Below are 22201 nucleotides of genomic sequence, written 5' to 3'. Positions count from 1 at the left end.
AAGTATAAATCAGTGGGGACAGTAGTCAGAGCAGCTTTATAAGCACACATCACGTGCTGACCTTGCATTCCCTCGATTCTATTTCTGCTACTTCCAGTTCCTATTTGAAAAAATTGAAAATCCTGCAGTTGTGCCAGTGTTTATTTTGGTGGTTGGCAATCAAGTAAAATACATTTAACAAGGAAAATGAAAAGTGAGTTTTGCATTATTGGCTCAACTATTCAATCTTGCAAAGATGCATTATATTTTTCTTTGAACAGCCTTGAATGCTTTGGTTTGGTTTGGAAAAGTGGGAGAAAAAATAGGAAGCCCCAACTATTAGTAAGGAGTTTTATTTCAAAATCCTAAAATTTAGAGATTGAACAAGCTATGAAACATATAGGAAGAAAAAATAATAATTAGTTGAAATCTTAGTTCTATACGTAGTGGATTAATTGTAAAAGTGTCTCCAATTATTTCGTTTCTGGTACACATACCCTTTGAATGTGAGTTTTCATAAGGCAGCCTCTCACACCTGCAAGTGTGTGGTGGAGTCTTGATCCAGTTCTCAGAAATGTACTGGCCTTGTGACTTGCTCTGTCCTATAGAATGCAGCAGATGTGATGCTAGCCCAGTTTCAAGTTAAGAACTGAAAAGGTCTCATCTAATTCTGCCCATTCTTTTAGAACCTTACCAGTGCCAATTTCATGTGCAAAAGTTCATACTAGCATGACAGAGAATAAGAAACCTAGTAGCAGGCGAGCTTATTGTCCTCAGCCAACCAAAGCCACCTTGCTTCCCCTAATGCTGGAGAAAGCAGATACTCATTGACTGCTCAATTCAGAAGTACAAAAGGACATATCTGAAGGGTCATGGCAAGGTTCAGAATTCCTCATGGAGTGGCCAAGGCTTCTGTTGCGGAAGCATCACGCACAGTTCAACTCTGACTAATCCTACTCCTTCCACTTCCTTCCAGGTGTTGTTCTTGAGAGCACTCCTTTATATATACCAAGTAAATGCAAATCTCTATTTTTGCATATGATTTCTAGAACACAGGAAGACAAACTTAGATGCCAAGAGTAGACTTAAAAAATAGACTATAAAGAGAAATTTGCATCTGTATAGTTGGCCAGATGGCTGATAGGTGGAGCACAGATAGCTCCCAGTAGGAAGTACTAGTGCAGTTGTTAAACTTTCATTGATGGAAGGAAGTACATGAATGACTGCAGCATGATTTCAGAGTTCATGGAAGATAATAACTATAAGGCTCATAAAATGGATTGATTTTTGCTAGGCACTCAATATTTTAGAAAATGAAAACAAAAGCTGAATGTGATTAATTCATTAATTTACAGCTAAGTGTGAGAGTCAGAAGGCATTTTAGCAGCACATAAAGAGATCCTCATTTCCTATAGCCACAAGGCAGAAATAGTTGAGGATCAAGCCCACAATTTTATTATAAAAATAGCAGATCTAAAAAGAAGGTTGTATCCAGGTGCAGTGGTGTGTGCCTGTCATTTCAGCTACTCGGAAGGCTGAGGCACAAGAATTGCTTGAACCTGGGAGGCGGGGGTTGAAGTGAACTGATATCATGCCACTGCACTCCAGCCTGGGTGATCGAGTGAGAATCTTTCTCAAATATAAAATAAAATAAAATAAAATAAATAAAATAAAATAAAATAAAATAAAAATAAAAGAAAGGTTGAATTCTCAAAATCAGCAAGTCCGTGAAGTCATGCCAGTGTCCTTATTCAAGAGGACGAAGACCTTACAAGTTGATATAGGGATATGAGAGCCAATGCCTTGAAAATTGTGTGTCCCCAGATTATTCTGAACATTCTGGGCCTGCAGAAATGCTACACTCCTCCCATGTGAAGGCCAGCTAATGCCCTTGCACTGGGAGCACAGCCATATCCACTTGCTTACACATTATCTATGGCTGCTGTCACACTACAACAGTAGAGCTGAATATTTGAGATGCAAAAACTCTATGTCTCTCAAATCCTAATATATTTGCTGTCTGGCCCATTTTAAGGAAATCTCTGCTAATCACTGATATAGAGGACTTTGACCTTGATTCTAGGGACCTGAAATTTCATCACACTCTCCCATTCTAGGAGAAAAGATAAAGTACTGGCCCATTTGTGAATCACAGTAGATTCATTGGGTAAATGGACCCCCTTGATGGTTATTTCTTTAGGTCCAAGAATGTTTAATTGAAATGATCATATTGGCCTTTGGCATGATCCTCAATGTTACTTCTCCTGTAAGGTAAGACCTAGCACAGTGAGGACACTCAAGTGGAAGCCTTTGAAACTGCCCAACTATTCCTGCCTCACCAAGAGAGTGAGTAAAAAGCAATAATATGTCTTAGGGAGAACAACAGATATTAGTGTTAATCTTAAAGAAAGACTCTTAAAGAACTTAAATGATGTAGGTATATTTTTTCTCAATGTATCCATGCCACCAATTTGTCTTCTATAAAATCTAGAGGAATCCTGGAAAAAGTCTTCTATGCAAACTTGAGGGATCCTGGAAAACATGAATAGACTGTAATTTCAAGGTCATGAGGCATGGTGCATGCGTTCTTTTGATTCCTGTGCATGACTGGTAGGCCTCTCTGGTCTCTGGAGGCAACATATTCCACATTTAAGAAAATAATTCCAACCCATTTCCTAAGTAGCATGCAAGTTTCCCAGCTTTAAATAGGGCCTGGAGAAGGAAACGGATCCATATCAGGTTCAGGTTACCATGAAAGCAGCCATGCCACCTGACCCATAATACCTATAGGCTCATGCATTTGAAGTATCTTTAGTGATGTGGGAGATCAGAATATGCCCCTCCAAAATATGAAGGATTGTTGAGCTAAAGGCAATGAAGAAGTAGTTGCAGGAAAGATTTCTGCCCTTTTCTACATGCATAAAAGTAGTACATAGATTCACAAAGACAAAACATATAATGTCACTCTTCTACCAGGGAGAACAAAGGTAAAGATCACCAAAGACAACTTTAGACCTTTATTGGCTTGTACATGGTACCAGAAGAATCTACATTAACATGGTTTGCTAATTAGCATTTTTTTTTTTTTTTTTTTTTTTAAAGACAGAGTCTCTGTCACCCAGGCTGGAGTGCAGTGGTAAGATCTTGGCTCACTGCTACCTCCGCCTCCCAGGTTTAAATGTTCAAGCGATTCTCCTGCCTCAGCCTCCTGAGTAGCTGAGATTACACGCATGCACCACCACGTTCAGCTAATTTTTGTATTTTTGGTAGAGACAGGGTTTCAGCATGTTGGCCAGGCTGGTCTTGAGCTCCTGACCTCAAGTGATCCACCTGCCTACGCCTCCCAAAGTGCTGGGATTGTAGGTGTGAGTCAGGATTCCCCATCCTGAGACAATGACCCTGATGGCATGGAGCCCAAAGGCATCATCGAGAGTAACTAGAATGAGATGGTTGACAGCTTTGATGACATGAAACTGTAGGAGTTTCTTCTCCGTGGCATCTATGCCTATGGTTTTGAGAAACCCTCTGCCATCCAGCAGCGAGCCATTCTACCTGTGTCAAGGGTTATGATGTGATCACTCAAGCCCAACCTGGGACTGGGGAAATGGCCACACTTGTCATATCGATTCTGCCACAGATTGAGTTAGATCTAACAGCCACCCAGGCCTTGGTCTTAGCACCCACTAGAGAACTGGCTCAGCAGATACAGAAGGTGGTCATAACACCTGGAGACTACATGAGTACCTCTTGTAATGCCTGTATTGGGGGCACCAATGTGTGTACTGAGGTGCAGAAATTGCAGATGGAAGCTCCCCATGTCATCATGCATACCCCTGGATGCATGTTTGATATGGTTCACTGGAGATACCTGTCTCCCAAATACATCAAAATGCTTGTACTGGACAAAGCTGATGAAATGTTAAGCCATGGATTCAAGGACCAGATCTATGTCATATTCCAAAGTTTAACAGCAACACCCAGGTAGTTTGCTGTCAGCTACAATGCTTTCTTATGTGCTTGAGGTGACCAAGAAGTTCATGAGGGACCCCATTTGGATTCTGGTCAAGAAGGAAGAGTTGATCCTGGAGAGTATCCACCAATTCTGCATCAATGTGGAACAAGAGAAGTGGAAGCTGGACACACTGCGTGACTTGTATGAAACTCTGACCATCACCCAGGCAAGTCATCTTCACCAACACTCGAAGGAAGGTGGGCTGACTCACTGAGAAGATGCATGCTTGGGTTTTCACTGTCTCTGCTGTGCATGGAGATACGGACCAACAGAAATGAGATGTGGTAATTAGCTTTTATCTGCTGTTTATTTGCCTTCCCACAAGTTGCTGCTTCTAGAGTCTCAAAGTCCTTTTCCTGTGTCTTAGTACTTATCTAAAAATTTACTGTTTTTTTTTAAGATGCTAGGTATGCAAATAGAAATTCAAAGCCAACTTTTTGAAAATTACTCATTCCCTGGGTGTCTCACACATCTGTATGAAATATACATGTTAATGAACTTCTGTTTGTTTTCCTCTTGTTAATCTGTTCTTTGTTACAGTGGTCCTTTTTAACTAAGAATTTATGAGGGTTGAAGAAAAATTATTTTTCTTCTTTTGCATTTGTGACAAGCTCTGGTCTCAGAACCACAAGAGAGAATCCTGGGATTCTGTATTTAAGTCATACATCCGTGTCTGCATTCAGAACGCATCTCCCAGCAAGTAAAAGGGCTCTGGTAGAGACTGAGCAGCTGAACCCAGCACATCAAGTGACCATGTGACCACAACTGCCCATCTTGCACTGTATATATGTTATTTTCACAAGCTCCAAAGTCAAGAAGGCCTAGCAACAATGCATTTTAAGAAGAAAGCAATATATATGGGATCAGGCACAAAGAATCTTGGAGGGTGAGATTAATCTACACAGCGGGTCGCCCAGACCATTTCATTCTTCCTTGTTGCACCCAGCATCTCTCTTTTGGTATGGGGGAAATTTTTTACAGCCATCTGACAGAGGAGGAAAAAGGTTGAGTTTGTTTCCCAAGGGCCTCACCTTTGTAAGCGGGTTCAAACTGAAAATCAGTTATTGTTATACAATAGTCCCACTCATAGATGTTGCAAAACGACTGGTGATTATACATTTATCCCAATAGGCAGATCTTAGGGTGGTATAAGTTGTCATCCACTTTACATGGAAATAGAAAGTCCATGGTAGGAGTATGTACAGACACATTTACAGAAGCTAATGGTTTGATTGGTTTGATAGAGCTTGAAGGAAAAAGATTGGAAGAACTGGGACACGCAGATGAACTTACAGTAATGGGAACAAAGTATAAAGATCTATGTATGACATTTTAATACCCACCACAGAACATTCACAAAGAAGAGGCACTAACAGTGCAGATTTAACAGCAGCTTGTTGATATCAGCCAGCATCGCATCTATGCTCAGACACCCTTTTGCTGCAGCAGAGACTCAAGCACAGGGTAGCCACGGTAGTGGAGATGGAGCCATGCAGGGCCTGACAGCACAGAATCCCACTCAATAAGGTTGATCTGGCTACTTCTCTAGTAAAATTCCCAATAACTTAGCAACTGAGATCAACTGTCAGTCTCTAATATGGCACCTTAAGATAACCAACCAGGCATTTGGTAGCAAGTTGCTACCCTTGGACTTCTGCTCTAAAAGGGACATGATTCACCTTGATTATATTTTAGGTATTGGCTTCCTGTTCCTAACCTCAAGACCTAAGCCAGTTACACTACCACAAAGTTTACTAAATATTTGAGCCATCACACAGGATTCTGCTTATAATCTCTTCAGATAAAGGGAATCATTTTACACAAATGATTAACATAAAAGAAGGAGAATACAACCACAAAGTATATTGGTCTTATATACTGTATTCCACAACATGCCAACAACTGTCAGCTGATGGAGCAAATAAATTGCCTTTTCTCTTTTTCAGCTATATCAAGGTAGAATTGACAAATAAAAAATTGTATATATTTGGCTGGGCGTGGTGGCTCACGCCTGTAATCCAAGAACTTTGAGAGGCAGAGGCGGGCAGGTCATGAGGTCAGGAGATTGAGAACATCCTGGCCAACATGGTAAAACCTGTCTTGACTAAAACTACAAAAATTAGCTGGGCATGGTGGTGCATGCCTGTAGTCCCAGCTACTTGGGAGGCTGAGGCAGGAGGATTGCTTGAACCTGGGAGGCGGAGGTTGCAGTAAGCTGAGATCTTGCCACTGCACTCCAGCCTGGTGACAGAGGGAGACCCTGTGTCAAAAAAAAAAAAAAAAAAAAAATTGTATATATTCAAGGTGTACAATGTGTACCTCTGGGTTATTTAATTAATCTCATGTTTTAGGATTATAAAATCTAGAATTATGTAGATGAAATAATTCAACGTGGTTTTTCAGATGATGTGGCAAAAATTGTACGTCTATATGCAAAAATAAATGTGAATCACACCTTGCACCACATGCAGAAATTATAAAACATCTCCAAGGAGATGTCCAAAAAAAAAAAACCCAAGAGACAACCTTGGGTTAAGTTTAGACTCAACATCCAGCAACATGAATCATAAAAGGAAAATGAAATATATTGGCATTCAACAAAATTAAAAAAAAAAGAACGATTTGCTCTTTGAATGACACTGTTAAAAAAATCAAAGAAAAAGTCACAGTCTGGTAGAAAACATTTCAAAACATATATATATATAAAATGAAAGTCTGTTACTAAAAATATATTTAAAATTTTCACAACTGAATAATGATAAAAAATTAAAAATGGGCAAAATATAAAACTTTATTCAAGGAAATATGTGGATGCACATTAACATATGAAATGATTCTATACATCATTTTATTTAGGGAAATGCAAATTAAGACCACGATGTGGTAGCGTACATCTGTTAGAATGGCTTTAAAGCAAAACTGGTAGTATCAAGTTGTGGTGAGCATGCAGATCAATTGGAAATCTCATGCAATGCTAGTGGTAATGCAAAATGACACAGCTATTTTTGAAAATGATGCAGCTACTTTTGAAAATACTTTGATGCTTTCTCATAAAGTTAAACATCTATTCAGCATACAACACAGCAATACCACTCCTAGGTGGATATAAAAGAGAATTGAAAGCATATGTTTGTATAAATATCTATACACCCATGCTTATATCAGTCTTGCTCCTAATTACCCAAATTAAAGCCAAATGTCCATCAATAAGGAAAATATTTATACAAATTATGGTACATCTAAACAATGGAATAAAAAACAGCAATGCAACAACATTAATGATTCACAAATGTATTAGACTAATTGAAATAAACCAGAAGCAAATGGTAGTGCATATAGTATGATTTCACTCGTATGACATTTTGGAAAAGGCAAAACTATATGGACAGAAAAGAGACCATTGTTTGTTAAGGGCTGAATATGGGAGAAAGAATTGACCACAAACTTGCATAAGGGAATTTTTTTAGATGATGGAAATGCTCTATGTCTTAAATGTAATGATGATTTCTTGACTACATGCATTTATCAGAATGCATAGAACTGTACAACCAAAAGGAATTAATTTGTCTATGAGTAAATTATATCCCAATACATGTAAATTAATTTAGTAGCACAAGAAGAACTTAGGACAATTTCTGGTACAAGTAAGTGTCCAAGAAACACTAGCTGCTATTGTTATCATCATCACCATTATTGAAATGACCAGAATAGTTTTAATAAGTGAATAATAAGCCACAAAAATAATAAGTTACAGTTTTTATAATATAGGATGAGACAGTAATACAAATTTATTCAATTTCATAGTCAAATATTTAGATGGTCAAATGAATAAGACTATAAAAGCACATATAAGCTAAATCTCAAATCTGCATTTAGAATTAACAGTGAATATTACATAGTTTTTTTTTACAGTATTCTAACTAAATTTTCAAAACAGATTAAAAGTGTCTGTGCATGCATTTATTCATGCAATATTTATTGACCATTTACCATGTGTAAGTCCTATGCTATGCACTGGGACTATTAGTGCTATGACCCTGAACTAAATCTATTAGTTTAGAAATTATCAATAATAATTTTACTCTTACATAATCTAGTGTATTGTATAATCAAACATGTAACAGCAGTTAAGTCAAAAATATTCAGAAAGAAAACCAGGGTCAACCTGAAGACTGAATGTATGTTTATAATTTTTAAAGGAGAATTTTTCTGTGCTATATAGTTGGTGGAAGTCAAGTCAACTGGAACAATTGAAGATAAAGTATGTATGTAAATACTGTTAAAGTTAGGAAAAACACTAATGAAAAAGTTTAATGGAAAGTTGGGATCTAGTTATGTTTGAATAAAGAATGTTTCAGTTACCATGGCTACATAACAAATTATCTCAAATCTAGTATTTACAAAAAATACTATTTTACTAATATTGGATTCTAGTAAATTACTGTCACGGATTCTGAGGTTCAGCATGGCTTGCCTCTTCTCCACAATACCTAGGGTTATACTTGGAAAGGCTTGCTGGCTGGAGGCTGGAATCTTCAGAAGACATCTTTCCTCACATGTGTGGTTGTTGACGCAGGTTGTTGGCTGAAACCTAAACCGAGCTGTGCATTAGAACTCCTAAAGTGGCCTCTTCTTGTCTAATTCATATCTTAATAATAGTTGTAAACTCAGTAATAGCTTTTCTAAAACCCCAATTTAAAAATGGGCAAAACATGTTAGTTTATTTAGAAATATTTTTACCTAGAAGTTTATTTAGAGGAACCTGGACCCCTGGCTCATGATTGGGAACAGCACCTCTGAAGGCTGAATGTCTGCATTGAACTTGATGGAGTAAGGATAAATTTTACTCTCCACTGACATCTAGAGGGGGTGTTTTTGGAGAGGAAGATTTGGACTTCTTTCTAGCATGGTGGCTGACAGCAAACATCCTCAGAGAACAAAGTGAATATGCCTAGCATTTTTACAACCAGACCTTGGAATTGTCATGGCGTCATTTTAGCTTATTCTATTGGTTGAAATAGTCACAAAAATCTACTCTGCTGAAACACTTGGGGTTAGGGGTGGCAGCACATTACCATGGGCAATGGGAGGAAAATCAAGATCACATTAACAAGAGCATGAAAGACGGGCCATTTTGGAAGATGCAATCGTCCACAAAATGTGAGTATTTGTCATCGGATTATATGAATATTGATATAATTAGCAATTGGTAGGTCTCCTTTTGGAAATATAGTAATTGACATGAGAGCTAAGTGAACATTACAAAATTGGCCTTAAATAATTAGGTCCCCAGCTTAGTCAGGAGTCTCATTAATCATTTTCATTCTATAGGAAAGTTTGCCATTAATATTCAGGTCATACAAGCAAAAGCAGATATTTATAGATAGCCAGAATCGCACTGTTTAGCAGACATGTATTCATAACATTATGTGCTAAGCACTAACTACACCTAGTAAAGACATCATGTTTTCCACATAAAACTACTATATTAAGTACTCTGCTAGTATGAGTATTTTCTTTTACCACACAGTGACCTGTATTTTACTTTCGGAGAAAAATTTTTTCAGCTTACAAAATGTTAGCTGGATATTTACCACTTTTATTACCTTCATGGAAGTCCAGCTAGACTAATACGCCTTTTGAAGAATGAGCTAAGATGAGGCATTTGATAAATTTCTTACAGCTATTGTTTTCCCTGATATTATTTTTATGGCATGGAATTAAACGTTACAAAATATCAGTTTACAATGACTGGAAAATCCAATTCCCTTAATAGTGAAGAAGGTAAAATCTTCCAAAGAGTATTACATATCTCCAAGCACAATATACCTTGATAGATATACAGCATACCTTTTCCTTAATATAGACAAAATTCAGCATATTGTGGCAATAAAATAGGAATACCAAATGTGTCTTTTGCCAGTATCATTTCTTGAGGTGGCTACAGTCCCATTCCCGTTTCTCTTTGAAAGAACTAAATTCAAAGTGCACCTAACAGAGTGGTGGTTACTCATAAATCTGTTTTATATTCCAGAGTGTTGGAGGAGTGGGGAGAGAGAGTAGTTTCGGCTGATGGGATATTGGTAGAAAAAATGTAAGTTATTTCATTAAAGGTCCTTCTTCTCTTGTTTGATGTCCAAATGGAAGGGATTTGTAGAAGACTTCAGGACTCCAGATGACTCTGAAATACTTAGCAACAGTAGAAGATAACTACATAAGAGGAGCTTGGAACTTTGGCTCACCATGGGGAAGAGCACCACTGAAGGCTGACTATATCTGCACTGAACTTGATGGAGCAAGAATAAATTTTACTCTCCACTAACATCTAGGGGGTTGTATTTTACAGCAATTGCCACCATCATCAATATAGCTGATACTGTGAGACAGAAGGTAAAGTCTGAACAAGTTTATAGCCTCAGTGCAAGTAGCTGAAGAACAAAACCACTAACTCTGTGTGAAGAAGGATATCAAGGTTTTTTAAAAACAATAAAAAATGATAGTGTTGTAGACCTAGTTACGCATCATATAAAATCCTCCCATACCTACCAGCTTATGTATTCATCCTGTCTTTGATCCTGGCCCTTGCCTATTTTCTAAGGGACAGACGTAACGATAACTCAGGGACTTCCCAGGTCCAGACTACTCCCCCTGCTCTACCACCAACAGAAGTTTGGCACCCTCATGCGATGCATTGGCTGACAAGGAAAGACTTACCTTCACATGGTCATGCTGGACCCACGGGTATCTGCTTCTCTCTACCCAGAGGGGCCAAATTACACATCCTCTATGTGAAATGTGAATGAGTCAATGCTCCATGGGGCACACTTATACCAATGAGAAACCAACGAGAAACAGAATATGAGATTTTCTCTTTCTACAAAATTTTAGAAATAAAATAAGAAAAAAATAGTTCACCTAAATTAAGCAAATATTTTCCTATAAAGCACCCACATTTTCTTGCAATAAATACATTAACCTGGAGAAATGTCACTAACATGTCAAATTAACTTCTCAATTAATAAAGGCCAATTTTGATGTATTTCTAGCACTTTCAAGCTAGAAATAATGTGAATAGTTTTAAACTGAAGTGTTTTACACTTTAGTTTTACAGTTTTACAGTTCTGGTAAATATTTGGCTTCTGTGCTTTTAAGTTACTGTTGTAACTCTGAAGCCATATTTTGATTTAATCCTGAAAGGTTTCAGAAAGAAATCATGGACTACAAAACTTGTATAGAGTAACTCTTTTGTTTTAAGCAAATAAATACAACGTTAAAAAATTCTGCATTGGACAAAAGTAAAGCAGTTTAGCTTACTCAAATAAAACACAGCTGAATGATGATCAGTGTATTCTTCTATATGTTATTGTATCTTCAACCTCACCAGACTTTTGGCTGGTAGTCCCAACAATGTGTCCTAAACTTCATATTACCTGTTTTGATGTTGATTTTCACTGCAACTGACCATAAACACTTCAAGTTAGAGACTGTTATTGATATTATTTCTCTTTTTAATTATTAATGTTATGTGAAGTAACAAGCATATAGTAGGGAATCAATAAGGATTAGAGAAATTAACTTAAGAGGAAAAATACACATCTGAAGCTGAAATAAAATACTCAGAAGGGAAGTATTACGGGAGATATTTTAAGGACTTGACATTTCATTGATTAAGATTTCTTTTTTTCCTCATTGTGTAGTATCAAAGATCTTTCAAAAATTACAGGGATATCAACATAGAAGAACATATTTAGAAACATCACATAATGATTCCAAAATATTGTCTTTACTTTTAAGATTTTTTAGAAATCTCTCTAACATAAACTTCCTTGGGAATGGGATCACTTAAGGATAAGGAACTTTGGATTGCTGCAGAGCCATAAATTACAAATTCCAACCAGCTGACAGATTGAACTTTGAAAATAAAGAAAAATGCAAACCCACAAGTTTAAAATGTAAACATGTTGCCCAAAACCATTAAAAAGTCAGTTTGCATGATACTCTCAAGGTTGTTTTTTAAAAAGCCTGTCTGTTAAGTAAAGACAGTATTGTTCACCCTTTGAAGCTGATTCTCAAGAAGGGGTGCCCTTCTGCTACTCTCTATGAAAATAAAAATGAAAATAAAATATAAGGTTTTATTTCCTGCTTAGAGTTGTCCTAGGCCTGTGCTAATGCTTTCTACTGCTTTATTTCTAAAATTTTGTATATGAAGCTATTGCTACAGGAAATCTTTTTTTTCTTAAGACTTTAATACCTGGTAATCACACTACTGTAGAATTACTTCTCTATAAGGACCTTATCAGTAGGATTTAGTAGGCAATTCAAGAAGATAACAAGCCATGAAAAGATTTGGAATTTTTCTGGCTATGAGATAATCAATGATGTTCTATAAAATTCTGGGAATTATATCATTTTGGAACTACTTGCTCTGTGGTTGTTATTGAGTAATTTTATAATCTGACTTTTAGACAAATCACCACATTCATTTATTGATACAAGATTTAGTTATGGAGTCCTTGTTTTACACATGACAGCATGCTAGTGGGCTCGTCTGTTGATTGAAGGGAGAGTAAGTTACAGACCTGGACATTAAGCGACCTGCAGTTTCATAGAGGAGATGACACATGAGTCCAATTACAAAGACATTTGTAGGAAGTTCTAAGAGTCTCACTCAAGGCTCTCATGTCTGCTCTTCTTCCTCTACACATTTGTCTTTTCCTCTCTCATCATTCAAAATTTCATCATCCATCCAGGATAGCGTCAGAAGTTCCAGACAAATACATTCAATTTTTAACTACAATTTTCCTTTTTTCAAGTTACTCTGTTAATCTTCTTCCACTGGAACTCTTTCTCCACTTCCCTGAAACTTATATCTCATTGGCTCTCTCTACTTTTTCTACACCCACTATTCTTTTCTCCTTATTTTTCAACCCATCAAGCTTAGATTTCATGACCCAATCTTTAATTACTTGGAGAATATTTGATCTCTCTGAATTCTGCTCTTCCAAGAACTCTGGCAAAACCCCAAACCAGTTCATACCCACTTTCTTTTTGCCAGCACCTGTAAAGCTAAGCATTGAGCATAGGTATCAATATGAAGCTACCTATTTCAAACTCAACAGAGTTCAAGTAAGTTGATTATATTACATAATTTTTCTACTAGGTAGCCTAGAGCCCATTCAAATTCATCTTGTTCAAAAATAACACTCTCCCTGGGAGAACATTTCCCCCTGTAAGTTTCTCGTTTTATGTCAACCCCATCTACCTAATTACCTAAGCCAGAAATCTATGTGTCACTCTTGATTGCATTGTCTCCCTTACTTGGCAATTTCAATCAATCATAAGATTGAGTCAATTCTGGTAGACATATCCATCTCCTTTTCTAAAACTGCCCTGTTACCTCTTGGTCAAGCCATCATCGTCTTTTGTGTAGGTCATCGGAACAAAGTCTTAATTCACCTCCTTGCTTACAGTCTGCTTTCTTGCCGATACTTTCTATACGTCAAGTCCTCAGTAACATTTGGAAAATGCAAATCTGATAATTACTTCCATGTGCTAAAAAGAATTTAATACTTTCCCATCCCATTTAGGAAAATATCGCATCTCATGAACACTTACAAGCACTGTATCCTTTGGCCACACATACTTATTCAGTATAATTTCTTATTGCTGTCTCCCCCTTTTGCAGTCTATACCTGGCAATGCTGATTTTTTTTTTTTTTTAATTTAACTTCTTGGATTATACTTCATCATTTCTTGCTTCTGAAATTTTTCTTTAGCTTTCTATTTGACCAGACAGTGCTTTCTTCTTCTCTTTGTTTAACTAAATTCTATTTACCCTTTAGACTCATTAAAGTTTTCTTGAAACATATGGTCTTCATATCATTATACCAAACACACTTCCAAATTCTTACTTAATAGCCACATAATCCACTAGACCATTGGCTCTGTGAAGGCAGAAAGTACATCTAATCTGTCCCGGCCTCTGTTTTCTGGGATTTACAGGATGTTTAGTGAATATACTGAAAGAATGAATGATGAAGAAATTCTTACGAGGAAGTTCTATTCATTATAATAGCGTGGTTGGAAAAGTGGGTTAATACCTTTTAATGATAGCAGTGTAATCAAAGGCATTAAATACTACAAACATTAAAGAATAGTATAGAATGTTATTAAGAATGATATACCAACAAACTTGACAAAATAAAACAAATAGACAACTTTCTTAAAAAATACAATTTATCAAAATTACCAATAAGAAAGAAAATCTGAGTAATCCTAATCTCCATTAAGGCAATTAAATTTGTCTCCATAAAGAAAGTTCCACGCTGAGATAGTTGTACTGGTAAATTCTGTCTAAAACTAAATAAATAAAATCAAGGTTATACACACTTTTTCAGCAAAAAAAGAGGAAGAGGGACTATTATTATATAAGATCAGGCTAATACTACATGAAAAGGTGAAAAATACCTTAAAGAAAAAGAAAATTACAGACCAATGTCAGCCATAATTGTATTGTTATGAGTTGAATTGTGTTCTACTAAAATGCATGTTAGAATTCTAACTTCCAGTACTTAAATAGATCTCAAGGGATTTATTCTGAGTAAAAAAAAATCTAAAAATATTACATACTTCAATATTCTATTAATACAACATTCGTTTCTTTTTTAATAGCTTTAATTATTTTTGAATTATAATTATATATAATTATAGGAGACACAGTCATGTATATATCTATCATATACAGTGTGAGATGATTGAATCAAATAAGTTTATATATCTAGCACCTTAAATACTCATTATTTACTCCTCCTATTTAACTTCAAATTGATCTTTTGACTGACATATCATCATTCTTCCTTTCACTCTCATCCCTGCCTCACCTCCAGGCTCTGGTAACCTCTTTTCTATTATCTGCTTCTTAGATTGTTTTAGTTTTGCATATAAGTGAGAACATGCAGTTTTTCTCTTCTGTACTTGGTTTATTTCACTTTGCATGATGTCTTCCAGATTCAACTATGTTGTTGCAAATGACAGAATTTTCTTCATCGAGGCTGAGTAGTATTCCATTGTTTATAAATACCATGTTTTCTTTATCAATTCATCTGTTGATGGACATAGATTGATCCCATGTCTATTATAGACAATACTGTGATGAACATGGGGAATGCAGATGTCTTTTAGATATACGGAATTTTTTAGAAATCTCAGAAATGGGATTTCTGGATCAAATGGTAAAATTTGTTCTCCATTTTTTATAATTTTGTCATTTTAAGAACGCCATATTTTTAGTTTTTTTGAAGAATTTCTATTATGGAAAACTGTATAGAGGTTCCTCAAAAGCCTAAAAATACAACATTATTGAAATGAAAAAACTATGGACATGGAAGAACAAATTTTTGTTTTCCAGGGTTTATGGACATTGGAGGTGGAAGGGGATGGATGAGACTCTAAAGAGGTCGCGCTGTAAGATCTTTGTGTTATCTTGATTGGAGTGGTCGTCATACCAATCTAACAGTGATAAAATGAAAATATACATACATGGTATTAATGTCAACATTCTGTTTTTTATTGTATAGAGTTCTGTAAGATGTAACCTTTGGAAGAAACTTGATGTAAGTTACATGGGACTTCTCTGTACTATCTTCCCAACTTCTAATGAATCTGTAATTATTTCAAAACTAAAAAGGTAAAAGTAGTATTTATTGCAAAGAGCCAGTATTTTAATTTATTGTGAATGAATACTATGGAAAAATATGATGAAAATAAATTACTAGAAAACTAAAATTAAACAAAGATACATAAACTGCAAAACCTTTTTGTAGAATCAGGAATATCTCTCCATTTTTATACATATAATCAGAACAAATATGGTATATGAAGAAAATAATTTCCAAAAGACTATATATTTTTATTAAGAGTATACACATAGCCATTAATATTGAGAATTGCTAATATACTATTTGTCTTTCTACAATCTCAGCTAAACAAAATGTATAAGTGAAATGTGATTTCATTCAATGAAAACTTATATGCACACTTTGAGAATACTTTGTATAAACACATTTAAAGATTTTGATATGAATAAATGCAAACAGTTCATTTCTTCCGTTAACATGTCTAGGCTACATTTTATTCACAACGTTCATTTACTCATAATTATCTGCACTATTTCTAGGTTCCTGTTTTAGTGACACTCATTGTGCCCAAAACAATCTGTGGAGCTGTATTGTTAGAAACAGAGCAAGAGCCTTTAAAGTAATTTCATCTAGCTCACCATGTATGTTTTTAACTGATATCCAAAAATGAAGTAAGTGATGATGTGCTTTCAAAACACAACTTCAGTGATTCCACCAGTAGCTAGTTCTATAAATTTATCCTTATTATTAAATTTGAATTATCTTTCAATGAGAATGATTTTCAGATCCATGCATTTCTTATGTGTGACACATTTTTGGTAAAAAAAATAAAATTCCAAACCCTTGATTAAATGTTTGGTGATAACCTTTTGCAGGTGTTCAATAACAACATTAACACCTACCTCACTGGTAATTGTTATTAGCTTGCCATAAAACCAGATTCCATAAATTCTCAAAGTTTCATTTTCTGTCATTGAAAAACTTGTTTTATTTCTACAATGCCTAAAAATATTAATATCATTAAATACATACTATATTCCATATATAAACTGTAAAACTAGATTCCATAAATTCTCAAAGTTTCATTTTCTGTCATTGAAAAACTTGTTCTATTTCTACAATACCTAAAAATATTAATATCATTAAATACATAAAAAATATCAGATAAACAAGTAACCCTGGCTATCACTGAACAGCTTTAAATTGGTAGACCAAACTGGTTTCTTAAGAAGTGAAACATTAAAAGTTTATTCAGTAATTGAAGTGCTTTCCACAGAACTATTGCTCTCCATGAACTGCATGGCTCTTTATGAAATAATTTGAGTTCGTAATCAGCTTCCATATTATTACTTGATATGTAAAATAATCTTGAATTTAATGTATTGACATTTACTTAACTCACAAAATTTTACCATGCCATCAGTGACTTTTTAAAGCTGACATTTAATGCCATGCAAGATGTTTTTGATAAAGAAAACTGTGTTGATTTGCATTTTAACAAAAGCACCATATCTGGGTAACCATTCAAGAATGTTTTCTGTAATAGATATTATGCCACAGAAACATGCATGTGAAACGTAATCTCTAAACTACACCAGTTGACAGTTCATATCATAGGGTTCAGATCTAGTCAGTTTACATGAGCGATGAAGAAAAAAGTTCCATAATATCAATATAATGTTGAAAATGGACTACACTAAAAGAGTTGCCATGTTAGCAGTATCAGTGCATTAGTCTAATCACAATGAAAAACACTTTACTAGTTTTACTTGTTCAGTGAGTTGGTCTTCTAGATCATCACTCAGCTCCTGAGTATACAGTGTTACTGCAAAGTGGTATTTGATTGACTTTGTAATACAGATTCACATTGCATTTCCAAACAAGTATCTTTGATACCATACTTCACTGTCTCAGCAATTGTATACATTTTCTTTAGTTAGCAACCCAAAGTGCTGTTTTACAATAAGACACATAGCATCAATATTCATATGTGAAATGTTGAGCATCTGCTTCTGTAGGCTTTTCAATTAAATACTCTTATACAGAGAATGTGGTTTTGAACACTTTTATTTATATCTTTTATGTAAATACCACATAGGTGTTCATTGTTTCATCCCTTCACTATGCAATGCAACTCCACAAATGAGGCACCATAGTTTTAGCATAGTATCATCAATTATGGTTAGAAAACTGATCTCAATGTACTAGGATACGTACTTCTAAGTAAAACAAGTATGAACTCTTTTTGGTCTTTAGCTTTTCCCTACTGTTTTTCTTCACCATTATTTAACCTAAAATGTCTGTAGCTGAGAATCTATGCCTTCTCGTAACAAGCCCAGAGAAACTTATTTCTCTCCGTGTTAATTGGCATTAAACTTAAATAATGTAAATTGTATTTTCTTAGTATAACTAATAATGTTACATTATAATTTGAAAAACAGGCATCATTAAAAAGTAAAGTGCACCTAGAAATTTTTTTAAGCATACAAAGGCTTACATTTTCTCAAAATTTGACACACACTTGGGTTATAGTGCACAAACTAACCTTAAAGTGTCATTTGTTGCTATGTGATTCTGCTACATATGACTAGCATACAGCTTAGATCATATGTGATCCACAACAATTAACTGTACTATACCCTGGTCAGAAATAATCCCATTGATCAAAAACCTTTATGGCCTGGCAATGTGAAATTGCTGCAGATATTTTGAAATGCTTACTCTGAATGCTTATATTTATCTTGCCTTAGAGCTCTCCACCAATGCCAGTGCAGGAGATCATGCTCTGAGCATCCAAGGTCTAGAGGGCGGAGCAAACATTTAAAAAATGCTGCAAACATGTCTAGCTACATATTATGATATCAGTATAAAGGAAACATACAGGGTGATGGGAGCAAATATTATAGGGATCCTGTTTACATTAAAGGGTCAGGAAAAGTCCTAAGGAAAGATGAATGGGTGAGGGCAGCCTTCTAGGCAGAAAATGAGGAGACATCAAAATGCATGTGCTCTAGGAAGGGAAAGAAGCCTAGAGTTGCTCTAGGTTGTGAGACAGAGGAAAGGCCCAGGAAATGAACAAGAAGAAAAAGAAGAGCCCAGGCACTGTGTACCATAATAATGAGGCTAGATTTTTCCTAAAGGTTGAGAAATGACATTAAACAAAACATAGCAGGTTGTGGTTGTGAGGGAAGATAATCAGATTTGACCCACGTGGGACTGATTGACGAGAACTCTGTTAGAAGGAGCCTGGGGCCCAGTGTTCCACTGATTGTAGAGCGTAGTGGGTGGGAAAGAGACCAAACAGGAAGCCCTGTTTTTGACTTTTATTTTAAGTTCAGGGGTATACGTGCAGGTGTGTTACATAGGTAAACTTGTGTCATGGGGATTGTTTTACCAACTATTTCATCACCCAGATATTAAGCCTAGTACCCATTAGTAATTTTTCCTGATCTTCTCCCTCATCCCACCCTCTACCTTGAAGTAGGCCCCTCAGTGTGTGTAGCTCCCCTGTGTGGGTCCATGTGTTCTCATCATTTAGCTCCCACTTATAAGGTAACATGTGGTATCTGGTTTTCTCTTTCTGCATTAGTTTGCTAAGGATAATGACCTCCAGCTCCATCCATGTCCCTGCGAAGGAAATGATCTTTTTCTGCTTTATGGCTTTATAGTATTCCATGGTGTATATGTACCACATTTTCTTTGTCCAGTCTATCATTGATGGACATCTAGGTTGATTCCATGTCTTTGTTATTATTAATAGTGCTGCAATGAACATACACATCCATGTGTCTTTATAATAGAACAACTTACAGTCCTTTGGGTATATACCCAGTCATAAGATTGTTGAGTCTAACGGTAGTTCTGTCTTTAGGTCTTTCAAGAATCACTGCACTGTCTTCCACAATGTGTGAATTTATACTTCCAGCAACAGTGTATAAGCAAACGTTCCTTTTTTATTCCACACCCTTGCTAGCATCTGTTTTTTTGTTTGTTTGTTTCTGAGACCGAGTGTTGCTCTGTCACTCAGGCTGGAGTGCAGTGGCGTGGTCTTGGCTCACTGCAGCCTCTGCCTCCTGGGTTTCAGCAATTCTCCTGCCTCAGCCTCCCAAGTAGCTGGGATTACAGGTGCATGCCACCACGCCCAGCTAATTTTTGTATTTTTAGTAGAGACAGGGTTTCACCATGTTGGCCAGGCTGGTCTCGAATTCCTGACCTCAGGTGATCCACCCGCCTTGGTCTACCCAAATGCTAGGATTATAGGCATGAGCCACCGCGCTCCGCCTTGACTTTTTAATAATAGCCATCTGACTGGTGTGAAAAGGTATCTCATTGTAGTTCTGATTTGCATTTCTCTAATGATCAGTGATGTTGAGATTTCTTTTTCATGTGATTGTTGGTTGCATGTATACCTTCTTTGGTTCTTTTGGTTTTATATGAATTTTGAAATAAATTTTGGACAATTTGTTTATACTGTGTGTGTGTCCAGTTGTGATTGGAATATATTGTAGAAACTCAAGTAAATATCTTCTAATGACTCAATGAATTGATTTATTTGGGATGCTTTATAAAAAGTATAACTTTTTCCTAATGCAGAATGTCCTAGTAGAAATAAAAAAATACAGTATATCAATAATTCCTAGCATTCCCAAGGAAGGAAACAAGTAATCGTATTAAGTAAAATGATAAAATAATACAAGTCTTAATGTTGATGCCCAACATCAAGCCATTTTTAAGAATCACAAGCAGTGCAGCAGTATTATTGCTGATGCTTTAAAGCTGAGCCATATTTTCTTAGATATTTATAGGATGGCTTTGTAGGTAAAATACAGGAGTAAATACCTGTGCTAGGTTGTTTTATCGTGCAGTTATTCATTCTTCCTTTCCTGTAAGAAAATTATACATTGTTGCTCATTGACATCAGGCTTAAGGGGCCCCTTATGGACAGAATATATATTCTCTGCTCCATTGATGTTTGACCTGACTATGTGATGTGCTTTAGTCAATGGAATAAATGTAGGCACGATGTATACTGTTTTTGAGAAGAAACTTTAAAAGGTACTAATGAAATTTCTTTGCCTGTTTGTTTCTGCCTTCTGTATGGGTCCTGGAATAAAAATATATGGATGAGGATTGCAGCTGACTTCAGCCTACATGCAGTTTGAATATGAAGTAAGTGTTGATTTATTATTGTAAGCCTCTGAGATTACATGGATGGTTGTTTCCCCAGCAAACCTGGCTAAACCATCCCGACTGCTACAATTTGACTAAATAAATGTAGTATGTATGGCAGAGACTTCATCATCATTTGTTTGTTGCTGAGTTTTCAGTTCCCAGATGGTAGTAACACATAGTTATAACTCAATGAATATTTTTGGATGAATTAATAGAATGGTGAAATGAGAGAATAAAATAAGAGGATAAGTACCTTCATTACGGGGCACATTTTGAAAGTCAATTTAGCAATAGAAAATGAAGCTAGATATAGAATGAGGTCACATCAGTTGAGTCATATTTTATGCAGTACAAAATAATTCAGAATTGTATATTTTTAGCAGATTTTTCATTATTCTTCAACTCACTTTAATCCGTTGCCTCCCTCTGCTAGGCCCCTATATGTCTTCTCATTGTATATATTTAAGGTTTAATCTTTCTTGACATTTCATCCGCTTTCAAAAATGTTCACCACTACCTTTTTCAAAGTAACTTGTTTCTTCTAAAAGACCACGCATCCGCTGATTTTTCTATTTACTCCCCTGTTCTCTTCAGGCATTGAGCGTTGACATTTCATTCTAACTCCTCTTCCTTAGCAGTCCATACTCGCTTTCTGGTTGACTTAATATATAATCACAGCTTCAATCCTACCTATTCAGGGATAGCTGATACAACAGCACTTCTAATATTTACCTCCAGCCTGAGCTATAGGTGAATGATGTCTATCTTTGGCAACTGAAACTAGTTTTGCTTTTTTTTAAGACACGGGCAAAGTCACAGGTATTGTACATTTTTTAGAGATTGCATAAAATGAGTTGTTCCAATAAAATGATGATAGAGGTAGAATCCAAATAAGAATAATTTGAAGAATTAACCAGTGATGAGGAAACAGAAAATAAACACAGATATCCTGGATGAAGTTTGTGATAGGATACAGAGACAGGTTGGCAGCAGTAAGGGAAAGTGAATATTTTTCAATTCAAGTACATTCCACATTTGCATGATTGGTAGCAAAAGAAAATAAAAGCTATCAATAGCTTTTATAAGAGTTAATTATTATGTTAGAGGGCTAAGCACTACAAAATTGGCATGCATTTTGGATTTTCCCCCAATTTGATACTCAAAACAAATTCTTGCCAAGTTGTAAAAGTAAACATTGTATTTATGGGTTTGTTATTATTCATAGATTCAATATACTGACTGCCATTCATTAAGCCAACTGAACATGTAACTAAGGCCTCCCCAAGTTTAAAAAGCATAATTATGAGGTATAGAGTAACATATAATAGTATATTCCATATATCTCTTTTCACCTGGATATGAACATCTAAATTTACATGCTTGAGATACTTCCTGGGTGTGA

At 35.8% G+C, this 22201-nt stretch overlaps 2 long non-coding RNA genes and 1 pseudogene across 2 annotated transcripts in view; all 3 read left to right on the top strand.

Moving 5' to 3' along the window:
* EIF4A1P1 (eukaryotic translation initiation factor 4A1 pseudogene 1) lies at positions 3344–4283 on the top strand (annotated as a pseudogene).
* On the top strand, positions 6763–16103 carry LOC124905003 (uncharacterized). Its single transcript, XR_007067831.1, has 2 exons — positions 6763–10381; positions 15568–16103. It is a non-coding gene; the product is annotated as an uncharacterized LOC124905003 (long non-coding RNA).
* A 3846-nt stretch (positions 16104–19949) lies between these two features.
* LOC102724355 (uncharacterized) overlaps positions 19950–22201 on the top strand; it is a 177651-nt gene continuing 175399 nt past the window's right edge. The window contains exon 1 of the long non-coding RNA XR_430359.4: positions 19950–20796. This is a non-coding gene — a long non-coding RNA (uncharacterized LOC102724355). The remainder of the gene's footprint in view (positions 20797–22201) is intronic.

This window comes from Homo sapiens, chromosome 21 (genome assembly GCF_000001405.40).
Source record: "Homo sapiens chromosome 21, GRCh38.p14 Primary Assembly".
Classification (NCBI taxonomy): domain Eukaryota; kingdom Metazoa; phylum Chordata; class Mammalia; order Primates; family Hominidae; genus Homo; species Homo sapiens.
Note: the sequence above shows the minus strand (reverse complement) of the source record. Positions and strands in the feature narration are given on the sequence as shown.